The 14233-nt window shown below is 46.2% G+C and overlaps 1 protein-coding gene across 10 annotated transcripts in view, besides 2 other annotated features; it reads left to right on the top strand.

The window, feature by feature from the left end:
- The first annotated feature begins 1146 nt into the window (after positions 1 to 1146).
- Positions 1147 to 14233, top strand: part of ELMO1 (engulfment and cell motility 1) — a 596421-nt gene continuing 583334 nt past the window's right edge. For 6 of the 10 annotated variants that reach the window (NM_014800.11, XM_005249919.4, XM_047421086.1 and 3 more), the window contains exon 1: positions 1609 to 1798. The gene's annotated coding sequence lies outside the window, so the exon portion shown is untranslated. Of the gene's footprint in view, positions 1799 to 1894; positions 1987 to 14233 lie in introns of those variants that run through there. The other 4 variants (NM_001206480.2, XM_011515654.3, XM_047421091.1 and 1 more) reach the window with 2 other exon arrangements.
- Positions 1860 to 1909: a silencer, noted in NCBI's record as "silent region_18104". NCBI's record gives its function as "represses an Ori minimal core promoter by ATAC-STARR-seq in GM12878 lymphoblastoid cells {active_cell/tissue: GM12878}" and the evidence as "EXISTENCE:reporter gene assay evidence [ECO:0000049][PMID:35858748]".
- Positions 1920 to 1969: a silencer, noted in NCBI's record as "silent region_18103". NCBI's record gives its function as "represses an Ori minimal core promoter by ATAC-STARR-seq in GM12878 lymphoblastoid cells {active_cell/tissue: GM12878}" and the evidence as "EXISTENCE:reporter gene assay evidence [ECO:0000049][PMID:35858748]".

Genomic DNA, 14233 nt, shown 5'->3' with positions numbered 1-14233 from the left:
GGTTGTAGATCAAATTCATACTTATCACTACAAGTGTCTCAGAGCATCGTTAGTAAAGGCTCCATTTACTGACTACTTATTAAATTACTTCATTTAATAGTTGGTGCTATTGACTTTTGTTATTATATCATTACTGTTTTATAGATGAGGAAATACAGAAGTTAAGTTGCTTTCCTGCAGTCACCCTGCTTTAGTTACTGGCTTATAACCATCTGGACCCAGGCACTCTTGATACTAATACTGCCTCCCAGAGTCATGCGTATAATAAGGAGTTAGATCAGAGCTGTTCATTAAAAGTATAAGGTGAGCCACTAATGAGAGCCTATGTGTAGCCTTACATTTTCTAGTAGCTACATCAGAAAATGTAAAAAGAAACTGGTGAAATTAATCTTATATATGCTTATATCTTAACCCAACACATGACGAATCCAACTGACTTACTACATCAGACTATTCTCATGTATTGCAATAATGTAATCAACATAAACATACTTAACAAGTTAGTTTACATTCATTTTAAAAATACTGAATTGTATGTCTGTTTTACACTTACAGAACATCTCAGGGATAGCCACATTTCAAGTGCTCAACAGCTGCCTGTGGCTCTTGAGGGGGAAGATCTTAAAAGGGAGCTTAGTTTTCCACCTTGATTCTGATGCCTCCCTGCCCCCGACTTATTTCCTTTGCCAATTAGAAGAAAATGCCGAACTGCCTTTGACTTTTCCGGTAGAGCCAATGTAGGTATTTCTGAACTGGGGGAGGACAGGTGGTTCGCCTGCAACCCTCTTCCCTCCTGCCAGCTAGGCTGGGAGTTAACGTTTTTGATTTCTGCTTTGAAAATGATTTAAGTAGGTTGCATGAATTAAGTAATTTATTCTAAATATCAAATTATGGGTGGAACGTCTTGCCTTATGCAAAGTTATGCAAAATTAGGAAGTCCCTGGCTTAATTGGTTAGAAATACATCTTGTAGTTTCAATTGCAGGGTTAGTAAATACATAGATGTCGACGGAGAGGGAGGAAACTTTTTTTTTTTTTTTTTGCCACTCTGTCCAAGGGTAGAGGCACAGCGTCAAAACAAACACGTCTTAAAGTAGCGTTCAAACAGCCCACCGAAGTTTCCCCTTAATATCCGGAACCGGTTGCCAAAAATTAAAAAAGGATGTGAAAAGATGCTACTCGCTTTTGGCCTCCCGGAGATGGCGCTATGAGGGTGACGGAGTTAATTAGTGCCTCCAAACGCCGTGTGTGAGCTCATCGAAGTCATGCTCTGCACACATATTATTTATAGCAGATCTGAGGCATGCATGGTGTTTGACATTTCTGTCTTTTAAGTAGGGGGACTTCAAAAAGTCGTGGGCATCCCCCTAGGCAAAGTGCAGTGGGCAGGGACCAGGCAGGGTGCGGGCGCAAGGCGAACGCGCAGACCACGAGTGTCCTGGCGCAGGTGCCGGGGGCGGCGGCTGCAACTCCGCAGCGTCCGCTCGGGAGGAGAGTTCGCGGCTGATCTCCGGATGCCTTGCAGATGCAAAATGTGTCTCTGGCCAGCAGGAGGAAGGAAGAGGAAGTGAGAGCAGCGGCAGCCGGCGGTGCAGCAGCCGGCCGACCCAGAGTGTAAGTGCGTGTGCTGGGGCGAGCGGGAGCGGGCGAGGATGGGCACAGGATAGAGGCAGAGCCACCCACGCCGCCGCGGCCCCACGCTGGGCGACAGAGCCTCCAGTTCCCCTTCAATGGTGGCGGGTCGCCGGAGCTCTGATCGCCGGGAACCCTTGCCGCTGCTGTCCTGCGACCCCAAGCAGGTTCGTAAAGTTTCCTGGGCTGGCGCCGCGCCCCGACTCGCTGACCTCGGCGCGGCAGGGGAGGGGGCCGGGACTGGGGCCGGGAGGAGGCGTCCTGCTCCGGGGGACTCCGGGCGCCGCGGAGACACTTTTGTTTCCTCCCTGGGGGCGCCGCGGCTCGGGCGGGGGTGGCCGCCGCGCTCGGCAGGGTGAGGGCTGCGGGCGCGTCGGGGCGCTCTGCAGTTGGGGAAGTCTGAGCTCCGGGGATGGCGGGAGTGGGAGTGGGAGCGGAGGGAGGGGGCGCTGGAGGTGCGGCGCCCGCGGATGAAGCGCAGGGCCCGGGGCCCGGGAGCCCGCCGAGACATTTCGACCAGGGTCTGCGGGAGGGGGGGCGCGGGAGGGTTGCGACGCTGGCGCGGGGTTACTGGGGACGGGGGATGTGGGGCTGGGATCTTGGAGTCAAGATTCCTATAGAGCTAGAGAAGCGGCTGCGGCTCAGACTCGGCGTCTTCTCCTGCACTCGGGGATGGGAGGGAATCCCCCGGCGAGCGCGCTCGTGGGAGGGGGCGGTGATGGGCCAGAGGAATGGGGGCCAGGAGGGCCGGAGAGGGCGGTCTGGGCAGCCGGGAGCCCCTGAGGTTCTGGTTAGTAAATACTCTCCTCCCGGGGACACACCGGGGTCTCCGCCGAGACCGAGAGAGGCGGCGGGGAGCTTTGTGGAGCTTCGTGGAAATCTCGGCTTCGGAGAGGGGACGCACCGGGCGCGCCTTCAGAGAAGGGGGCGGCGGCATGCCAGGGGGCCCGGGAATCGGAGCGGAGAGTGGCGACTGCGATCGCCGGAGTCGCTTTGAGGAAGAGGAAATACAGAACTCAGCTGTCCCGGGGGTGCGCGCGTGTGTTTGGGGTTGGGAAGTCGGTGCTGTGCCGCGAGCGCGCGCGAGGCGGCGTGTGTGTGTGTGTGTGTGTGTGTGTGTGTGTGTGGTGTGTGCGCGCGCGCGTATGTATGTGTGTGTGGTGTGTCGTCGGTGTGTGTGTGAGTGTGTGTGTGTGGGGGGGGTGTTGTGGGTGTGTGTGTGAGTCGGTGTGTGTGTGTGTGACCGCACAGCCAGGAACTCCCCGCCCAGTGACCCTCTCCCGCCTAGGGGGCCATTTGAAGTTGGAGGCGGGTCGGGACCTGCCTTGACCTAAAGGACCAGCCTCAGGCTTGGTCCCAGGTAGTGACCCAGCTCTGAGAGTCCCTGGACGGCTCCCGAGACTCAGTGAATATATTTGGGATGCCCCCCGCGCTGGATCATGGGCTTCCCAACACCGCTGGCCTTGAATGATTCGGGCCTAATTCGTTATGGTTAAGATTTCAGATAATCTAAGACGGGTTGAGGCCTCCAGAAGCGGAGGCTTCCTGTTGGGCGCTGCCAGTGACTTGGGGATGAAGCTATGGAAGAATATCTGAGTGTTTCTCTTTTGCTTCTATAAAAGTAATTAATGACCTGTATTTACACACCAAAACCCTGCGAGCAACTTTGGGACATAGAGGGATATAATCCTTCTCAGAATCACTTTGAGATTGCAAAAACCGGCAGCAGCTATTATTGGGGTCTCCTCTGGCCAGGGTTCTCATATTATCTCACCTCCATGCCTACTTTCCAAGGTTGTTTCAAGCATTAATGTCCCATAATTTACAGATCTGGGGGAAAATAATGGTAAGTTAGGAGGCCAGATCCCCTGCAGAAACATCACATATTTTTAATTTTTCTTATAGCTGACCTTTTGAAGCTTTACTCTTTATTATTGTACATTTCCTATCTCTGGAAGGCTGTGGTTAAATGTGCATGCTGCCTTGTTTCTACTCTGTTTTGTTTGTTTTTATTAGGTTGGTAAATTTTGAGAAAATGACCTGGACTGCTGGGACTCTTGGGGAGGGGTTGTGTCAGGAGGGTACTGAACTGGAGAACAAGAAGTATGGTAGGTATCAGGGAGGGGCAGGCTCGGAGGCAGACCCGGATGGGAGTCTGGGGAAACTCAGGGCCTGGAGCAGTCATTGGGCAAGAAGATGGGCAGTTCTAGTGATGGTCATGCTTACTGTCCTTGGTAACTGCAGGCACCCTCACCGTCTTACATTCTTCTTTTTCACTGAGTTCTCTCCCTAGGGCCTTTGCCCATGATATTACAGGAGGAGCTTTTCTCCCACATGTCCAGATGACTCACTTCCCCTGCTTCTTTCAGGTCTCTGTCCAGTTGTCAGCTTATAGGGGGCCTTCCCTGGCTACCCCATATAAAATAGCAGCCAGACACTCCCTGGGCCTCTTATGTTACTCAGTTTTTTGTCTTAGTACCTTTTACTCCCTGGCATTATACAGTCATTGGTGTATTTTGAGTATTGTCTCTCTCCCTGTTAGAGCAGAAGTTCCATGAGGGTAGTGACTACCTTGTCTTGTTTACAGCTCCAGAACCTGGATGGATTCTTAGCATGATGTCGGTGCTCAATAAGTGTTTGTTGACTGACTAAATGAGAGGTGGCTATACTGGGAGAGATCCACCAGGGAAATATACCAGGAAAATGTTGCAGCATTAGTGCAAGTGAGAAGCCCAGGTAATGGGCTTTTGCTTTTTTCGCTGTCCTTTCCCCCATGCCAGGCCACTCTTCTTTTAGACTCTGTTCTGCCTTGAGTAGACTCCTCCCTTTTTCTGCCTGAAGAAAGGAACAGAGAGGTGATTCCTTGGGAGATTAGATAACCAGTACACTTAATGACACATAACCATTCCAGATCTGGTGTTTCATCACTCTCCTTGGAGAAGGTCTTTTAAAGAAGTCTGTGTTGCTTTAGCCTAGGAGGAAGGGCATGATTGTAAGGGGATTGAAGTCAGAGGCATCTACTGTGTCCCATTCTGCTCTCCTACAATATGGAAGTGAAGACAGGAGGCTGTAAGGGAGGCTGTGTGGCAGATGCAGGGGAGATGAGAAATGCCTAGGAGAAGAAAAATAAAAGTGAGAAAACATTAAGGTGTTCTGCAGGTGCAGCTAAGTCTTGAACATTTACTAAATTACTATATTGAAAAGAAGCTAACTCTTGAGTGTTTCAAAGTAATTTAACCCCTTTGGGTGTTTGGTGTGAGTGGGTGGGGCGGGTGGGGAAAGGGCTTTGAAGCCTTTGCTGAAGGATGTGGCTGGGGGTGAGGCAAGGAGCTCACCTGATCACACACTGTGCTTACTTCATCAGGTTGCCTAATGCTCAAGGGTTAAAGGTGATCATTCCTATGGAGGTAACATTTCCCTTCCAGATCTAAGACAGTGGATACAATTAAGGTTTGTAACTCAAGCTTGTAACCACTTTTTGGTGCCTGAAACCATCCAAGTAGATAGTTTGGTTTATAAGACATTCTGTTGAATCTGGAAAACGTGGTGGATTAAGAAACCCTCTCTGCATCACAAAGCCTGGAGTGTTTGCTACTAATTGTGCAACTTTAGTTCTGGTTCCTTCTAGTCAACCAGAGAAGTGCTTTTTAAGCTTACGGCTGTAACCCATGAGCGGATCATGATATCACTTTAGTAGGCCAAGACCAGCAGTTTAAAATGTGAAAGAGAAGAGTGGTGTGGAAAACAGCATTTCATAAAACAGACACCCAGTCTTAATGTCAAAGTATTGCTCAGTGTAGGTAACGATTTTAAAAAGCCTGTTTCAATAATTCTGGGGAAAACTACATTTTTAACCAACTTGCCAGGGATTCTGATGACGACGTTCTAGAGGGCTACAAGAAATACTTAGCTATCTCCTTTTAACAAAATACTGTTGGTTTAACCCCCTGCAGGAGATGCTATTTCCAAATGTTGAACCAGATGCAGTTCTGTCGGCTATTGACTTAACTTTTCAAAATGCTACTATTGGCCGGGCGCGGTGGCTCACGCCTCTAATCCCAGCACTTTGGGAGTCCGAGGCGGGTGGATTGCGAGGTCAGGAGATCCAGACCATCCTGGCTAAGGCGGTGAAACCCCGTCTCTATTGAAAATACAAAAAAAATTAGCCGGGCGTGGTAGTGGGTGCCTGTAGTCCCAGCTGCTCTGGAGGCTGAGGTAGGAGAATTGAGTGAACCCGGGAGGCAGAGCTTACAGTGAGCTGAGATTGCGCCACTGCACTCCAGCCTGGGCGACAGAGCAAGACTCCATCTCAAAAAAAAAAATGCCACTATTTGTAGAACTTGCCAGTGCGCTAGGCCCTCATGCTGCCATCTTGGAGGAACTAGAAACTCAAGTGACATGCTTTTCACTTTAGTGATGCAGAAAGGCAGTAGCTCCCTTTGCAATAACTCTTTAACCTTACTTAGAATAAAATCGACAGACTATCCCCTTTTCTCACCAAGTTTTAGTTTAGAACTTTTGAGGTCTTTGGAAATTTACTCTGCTCAACTTCTCCTTTCATATTTTACATCTAGTGTTCCCCACATGAATGATTCTAATTACAAAGACAGTTGTAATCTCTTCTGGAGGCAGCCACACTGCTGGGATGCATGATTAGGTGAAGCATTTTAGCTGACCTGGGCTTGGATTGGCTATCCAAAGAAGAAAGTCAAAGGCTGACAACTCAGCCTGGGCAACATAGCGAGACCACATCTCTCAAAAGTTAAAAAATTAGCTGGGTATGATGGCATGCACCTGTAGTCCCAGCTACTTGGTAGGCTGAGGCAAGAGAATGGCTTGAGTCCAGGAGTCTGAGGCTGCAGTGAGCTGTGATCTCACCACGGTGCTCCAGGTTGGGGGACAGAAAAAGACCCCATCTCTTTAAAAAAAGAGTCTGAGAACTTCTGCACTGTCCATAATAAAAGGATCATGAAGGCCAGTCATTCCACAGGGTGTGGCTCCCAGGACCATGTGTGTGGCCATGAAAGCCTTCCAGTATGCCAGCACAGCATTTTTAGGTTCAGCAAAGCCAGCCTGCATGTACAATGCACACACTGGTTGCAATGCTTATTTCCCTGGATAATTTGGGTTGTTTGAGTGTTAACAATTGGAACTTATCTATATTAGCCAGAACTAAAGCCTGCAAAGCCATATCATGATTCCTGATTACATTAACTACTTGTGTCTTAGTGCTGTATTTTCTAACCTGTTACAATATAAGTGCAGGTACGGTACGAGCAGAATTTGGTCATTGGCCTAAGGTGGGGTGAACAGTTAAGTATCAGATAGGAATACGTGTGGGAGAAGGAATGCTAGCTCATCAAACAGAATTAACTACAGTAACAAACTGGCATAGTGCTGAGTCGAGAAATTAGTCACATGTATAAATAGAAGGAGACGATTCTCAGTGTTCCGGGCCCCCACAAACACTGATTTCCAGAATCTGAACAGAATTATTATTGGAACTTCAATTTTAGGAATTGAGGCTACAGTTTTGACTGTTTTAGTTCTAACAGTTAAGGTAGAAAACAAAACTTTCCTCAGTAGAAAACACTGGAGAGGCACAACTTGCTGGACTAAGGACTGAGATGTGTTCAGTGGGTTGTACTCTGGATAGGGAATGGTGGTTTGAGGGAATGAAAATCAGGTAAGCCCTATAAAGCATTCTCTCAGTGGAGGTGGAGTCATAGGATCAATGCGACATTTTTCTCTGTGGCCTGACACACCCTTCCTCTGGGGATGCTGTTTTGGAAATGATGGAGAACAGTCAGAATAGTATTGTTATCCCATTTTACAGATGTGGCTTGGAGGAATGAAATGTCACAAGCATACTTAGAGAGTGCATCTGAGCCTTAAACCCAACTTTTCTGACTCGTTTTACTGCGTTGTTTCTTTCTCCTGCACCATGATGTCTGCACTGGTTAGTTCCTTCTTTTGTTGGTTCACTGGACTTGCCAGCCTCTGAGGCCAGGATGCCATGTGGAGCTATGCTGCAGTGGTGTCCAGAGAGGCTCTTCACTCCTGTATGTCCTGCAGATGGATGTGCCCTGGGTTGCCATGGTATCCAGGGATGTCAATGCTGCCACTGAGTCCTAGTTCTTCAGAGTCAATCCCTCTCTTTGGGTATCTCATTCTAAAGTTGACCTTAGTTTTGAGAGTCAATGGATTCTTCTCTCAGGGACAGTATGTCCATCAGCCAACCTCATGATATTGAAGCATATGAGCTAGAATGCAATTTATTAATAAAAAATGAGAACAGTATTTGCCAAGAAGAATGGGCGTTTATTCTTTAGCCAACATTTTTCCTCTGTGGATGAGTCATGGTGAAGGCAAAAGCATGGAACCACCTGGGAAGGAACCAGTTGGAAGGGGAATATACTTGACAGTGTTTTCCAGCTCCTCATAACTTTTGCTAATTCTCTTGTTGATAGATTCATACCAACTAAGAAAACCAGAGACTGGAGTCCTTTGACCGTGATGGTTTCTCCTTTGGGCGATGCTGAGGCTACTTGTACGGTTCTTTTTCTACTTGTAGGCTGTTGGCCATTTTACTGACCCATTATTTCAGGCAGTGTCAGCCTCAGTGCTATTGACATTTCGGGCTGGATAATCCTTTGTTGTAAGGGCTGTCCTGTGTACTGTCGAATGTTTACTGCCTTCCCTGGCCTCTGTTCACTAATGCCAGTACATTAGTCGTTTGTGACAACCCCAGATGTCTCCAGGTATTGCAGATTGTCCTATCAATTTTCCTGTCCCCAAGCTGAGAACTGCTGCTTTGTCTTCCTGTGTTAGTGAGACCAGTTGTGTGTTATCAGATAGTCTAGACTTTCAACAGCAGTTATAAGTGCCCCAGTTTTCTCCTTACTGGTTATTCCTTAGAGTCTAAGGTGGTGTATTAATAAATGAGAGGGCTCACCCTTTATGTTCATTTCTTTCCTCCAGCTCTCCAAGTTTCCTTTCTAGCTCTCTTCTCTCTTATACTGCAGTTGTTTCTCTAATCCAAATGTTTTTCAAGTTTCCTTTCCATGCATGTTTCTTCCTAGTACCTGTGGCTGAAAAACACTGTAACTAGTGAGTTTTTGTCTCAGTTTCTTAACAACGTTTTGAATTCTGACCACTGGTTACTGCCTTAACTGTAACCTTTACATAATGGCAATAAGATAAATGAAATGAGGGAGGTGGGTAGCAAAGCTCAGCTTGGCTTGTTCAGAGGCCTTTGTCACAAGACAAAGGAAATGTCTGTGTGGGAATGAGTTAAGTGAGTTCAGTGCCTCCTCCTTTGCTTGTCAAATCCACCTTGACTAGTTGGATAGTAATGGTTATTGATATTCCATTAGTGCGACCAGGACATTGTAGCAGGTCAGGGAGAAGCCTTCAAGGTACTGCTTTATGCGAAGTCCTTTCCCACTTTGTATATTAGATTTCTGTCCTAATCTTGCCATGTTAACTTTCTTATGTAATTATCTGTCAGCCTTTTATTTACCTTCTCTGCTTGGCTGCTGTCGTAGTCCAGAACACCATCGAGTGGCTTAAGTGCCGTAGAAATATGCTGGGTTATAGACTAGCTATGACTCCCCTAGGCAGCCGCCTTCTTACAGTTCACCAGCCCTATAGCAACCCTCCACCCTTCCTTCCGCCCTTTGTGTCTTTTTTTTTTTTTCAGTTCAGAATTGCATTTAGAACGCCAGAGTTTTGTGCTGTGGGGTTCAGTGGCAGAGCTGGATGAGCTGTATTTTCCAGGCTGCTACACACAATTACCCTTAATTTTGAAGAGTAATCCATTTCAAAATAATTTTTTTTTTGTTTTTGGTCTCTTTAGCCCAAATGCGTAACCACAGCTGGCTTTACCCTTGGCCCTCAGAAAGCATGTGGCTTGGGAGGTAGAGCTAGTGGAGGAGTTTGGTCAGATTGCTCATTTTTGGTCAAGTGAGGAGTGAATTCCAATAACACTCAGTAAGGCTGGTTTTTATTTGACTCCCGTCCACCCCTCCAACTCTCCCCACCCCACAGTTTCCTAGATTTTTTTTTTTTTTTGAGATGGAGTCTCACTCTGTCACCCAGGCTGGAGTGTAGTGGCGCGATCTTGGCTCACTGCAAGCTCTGCCAACCGAGTTCAAGCGATTCTCCTGCCTCAGCCTCCTGAGTAACTGAGATTACAGATGCCCACCACCATGCCTGGCTAATTTTTGTATTTTTATTAGAGATGGGGTTTCACCATGTTGGTCAGGCTTGTCTCAAACTCCTGACCTCGTGATCCACCCGCCTCAGCCTCCCAAAATGCTGGGATTACAGGTGTGAGCCACCACACCCAGCCTCTTTGTTTTTTCTTTCTTTTTCTTTTCTTTTCTTTTTTTTTTTTTTGAGCTAGAGTCTTGCTCTGTTGCCCAGGCTGGAGTGCAGTGGCACGATCGTGGCTCACTGTAACCTCTGCCTCTTGGGTTCAAGTGATTCTTCTGCCTCAGCCTCCCCAGTAACTGGGACTACAGGTGCCTGCCATCACACCTGGCTAATTTTTGTATTTGTAGTGGAGACAAGGTTTCACCATATTGACCAGGCTGGTCTCGAACTCCTGACCTTGTGATCCGCCTGCCTTGGCCTCCCAAAGTGTTGTGATTACAGACATGAGCCACTGTGCCTGGCCCCTAGATTTTTTTATAGTGGACTTGTGCCTCAGTTATTCCAATTGTGGGCCACTCTGGGAAGTGACCACTACTCAGAAATTTTGGTTTGGGGGAGTGGGACCGATTCTTTGATATATTAAATAATAAGTGCTTTGTACATATATGTGTGTGTGAGAGAAAGACACACACACACACACACACCCATGCAGCTCTAATAATGAAAGGCCTTTAGAAGCAAAGAAACAATTATATCAGCTGCTAAATCCTGTTTTCTCCAGTGCTGTCACTTTTATAGTAAGTCAGCACAAATCACATGAAATTAAACATTTTGTCAAGGAATGAATATGTTTCCATCATCTCTAGGCTTACTCCACTGCCAGGAAGCGACTTTGACTCATTAGAACTACTTTCTCAATTACTGTCCATTCTCCAACTGAAGGTTTTTGAGAAACATTTGCTTGGGTTTATATGAGAGAAGCACAGTAAAGCTTTATTTATTAATTGTAGTATATTTTAAAAACAGATGTTGAGCTTATCCTTAAAATGTATATAAATATTTTCAAGCTAAACTATTGCTGGGCTTATAGCCCTGATCATAATGCTTCATTCAGTCATTCAAGTCAGTCAACAGCCACTTTGCTTGTAATTTGTATGCTGTAGCCTGGGCACTCCATATGTGGAGAAGGGGTAGGGAGGGCTGTAACAGGCAAATCTGTTTAGAGACAGTCATAACAGTATGCTAAAGGTATGTTTACCGTGATTGCAGATCACAGAGGTAGGTGTTCACAAATGAGGTGACTTTTGAGAAAGATCTGGAAAGCTGAGTATTAAGAGAAAGAATATGATACATCCAGGGAATATAGCAATCAGGGTGATGGAGGACAGTCTGGAAGGGGCTTTATGTCAGCAATCCCAGGAGCTGGGCATTTGGATTCAGCAGAAAGGAAAGCCAAAGGCTTTTAGGCAAGGAAAAGATGCAGTGCATTCCAGTGAGAGCAACCTGGAGGATAGATTAGATGGTACAGCTGGAGGGAGGGGCAGAGGAAAGATGGGAGCTCCTGCTAGGCCTGCTCAAATAAATACATGGTCTTGGTCAGATGAATAAATAAACAAAGCAGTGTGCTTGCTGTGCCAATGCAACTAGGAGACAGGTTGTCCAGCCCCCGCCTTCCAGCGGGTGCCAGCCAGAGTCTGAGCAGAGGTAAAGGAGGGGAGGCCAGCACTCACCGTGTTTGCCTGTAGATATTGATGACAAAATTAAATGATTTGCTAAGTGATTGGATTTGGGAAAAAGGAGAAGGAGTCTTTGAGGTTTAAAGCGCCATAAGCACATACTTGTTAATGGAGGGTTCAGATCTCCTGTTGAGTACAGCAGATGGGTGACTTCAGGTAAGTTAGTGATCTTCCTTAGCCTCAGTTTTCACATCTTTCAAGTGTAGGTAATATAAGTCCCCACCTCTTCGAGTAGCTGAGATGATTAAATGCAATCATGATTGTAAAGTAGAGTACCCTAAAAGCGTTGGGTTGGATTTGCTATTATTATTGAGGTTATTATCACTGATTCAGTAGTGTTTTTTTTTTTGAGACAGAGTCTCATTCTGTTGCTCAGGCTGGAGTGCAGTGGCGCGATCTCGGCTCACTGCAATCTCCGCCTCCCGGGTTCACGCCATTCTCCTGCCCCAGCCTCCGAAGTAGCTGGGACTACAGGCTCCCGCCACCACGCCCGGCTAATTTTTTTTTTTTTTTTTTTGTATTTTTAGTAGAGACAGGATTTCACTGTGTTAGCCAGGATGGTCTCGATCTCCTGACCTCGTGATCCTCCTGCCTCGGCCTCCCAAAGTGCTGGGATTACAGGCATGAGCCACCGCGCCCGGCCCGATTCAGTAGTTTCTATTCAGGTTCTTTATTAAACTATCTTGCTGAAATCATAAAAAGAGATGCATTTTGTATTTAATTTTCTTCAAGTGACCTAGGTAACTGCTCCTAAAGTCTTGACTAGAATTAGTTTGCTTTATATGTCTTTTCTTCAAGAAAACAAGAGGAAAGGTGGGGTTGGCAGGGAAAGAGGAGATGTTGGTCAAACCCAGATAGAAAGTTTCAGTCAGACAGGAGGAATAAGTTCTGGTGATTTTATTACACAGCATGGTGGCAATAGTTAATAATTATATATTGTATATTTCTTTTTTTTTTTTTTTTTTTTTTGAGACGGAGTCTCGCTCTGTCGCCCAGGCCGGACTGCGGACTGCAGTGGCGCAATCTCGGCTCACTGCAAGCTCCGCTTCCCGGGTTCACGCCATTCTCCTGCCTCAGCCTCCCGAGTAGCTGGGACTACAGGCGCCCGCCACCGCGCCCGGCTAATTTTTTTTGTATTTTTTTAGTAGAGACGGGGTTTCACCTTGTTAGCCAGGATGGTCTCGATCTCCTGACCTCATGATCCACCCGCCTCGGCCTCCCAAAGTGCTGGGATTACAGGCGTGAGCCACCGCGCCCGGCCTATTGTATATTTCAAAACAGCTAAAAGAGGGGATTTTAAATGTTCCCACCACAAAGGAATGCTAAATATTTGAAGTGATAGATATGTTCATTAGCCTGATTTGATCATTCCTTAGGTATACATGTATCAATACGTCCAATTGTACCTCATAAATATGAATGATTACTATTTGTTAATTAAAAATGAAACTTAAACCAGTACAGGAGAAGTACCAACTGTTAAAATACAGACGGGGATGAGTTATGATTGACTGTGAATTAAAATAACTGATGTAATGACTGAAGTTAGCAATTTAGGGTCCTCAAATGAAAGCTCTTCTAATGTGTATCCCCAGTTCCATTTGAACTAACCTGAGATTTTACTGTTTTATTGTATTATTAATTTTTTTTTACTTTGAGGGGAGAGAATGGAGATGGCTCCATTGGAGCTCTTTCCCTTTTCTTGATTCCAGCTTTTGAGGTTGTTTGCATTTGTCCAAGGGTGCACAGGGGCCCTGGGAGAAACCCCATGTCATTGGAGTAACAGTGAAGGAGCAATTGTCAGGAATTTCATTCAGTTGAACTGGGTTTCATATGATTATGTTGCATATAAAGGAGGTTCAATGGGTCCATTCATGCTTTGGAAATGTCCCTTTTTCAATCGTTTGGAACCTTCCACCAAGTAGGGGACTGTTGAAATGTTCATTGGCAGGTGGGTGGTTGTAAATTGTTAAATTTTCTTCTTTAATCTGAGCCAGATGATCAAGCTGTCAACCAGATTAGAAATTATCCTGGGAATAAAAATAGAAAAATAAAAGAAGAATGTCTGTAGTCCCAAGTGTACAGACCCAGTGTGGCCCCATTGTCCCAGCACGTTCAATTACACCAGCTTTCACTTTCCAAGTGCAGTGGGTTGGACAATTCATTTTATGGCCACCTAAGTGGAAGCCACCTGCTTCCATTTCCAATCGCTCTCTCTGGATGTGGCCGGTTTGTTTGGGTGCTTTTTCTACTTATTGCTTCTTCAGAAAGGCAGCAACTAGCTTACAGGCACACCAGCTCATTAAGCAGTAGCTCATGTACCCATTAAACAGTCACTTAGTAACAGCTTTTAAGGAGTGGGTTGAAAAGAGAGAAACCTTCATCTAGACACTAAAATGCCCTGGATAGAAGTATGGGTGTCAGAGAGCCATGTGCCAAACAGAAACTGCTTCTCCAAATTAGTGCTTTGAAAGTGATAACTTTTGGTCTCCACCTTGACTTCCATTACTATAGTCATGAAAATCACTTGTCTAATGGCTGTATGCATATCTTCATTGGACCTGACAAATATACAGTCTTCAGTGTGAAAAATTTCTGGTCACTTTATTTTACCTAGGAGAGTGGTAAACATGGGTTATTCAGCAACTACAGTGTCCGCTGTGTAGCAACGCCTCTTTTCTATATATCAGGATTGGTGTGTACCTTGAA

This window comes from Homo sapiens, chromosome 7 (assembly GCF_000001405.40).
Source record: "Homo sapiens chromosome 7, GRCh38.p14 Primary Assembly".
NCBI lineage: Eukaryota > Metazoa > Chordata > Mammalia > Primates > Hominidae > Homo > Homo sapiens.
Note: the sequence above shows the minus strand (reverse complement) of the source record. Positions and strands in the feature narration are given on the sequence as shown.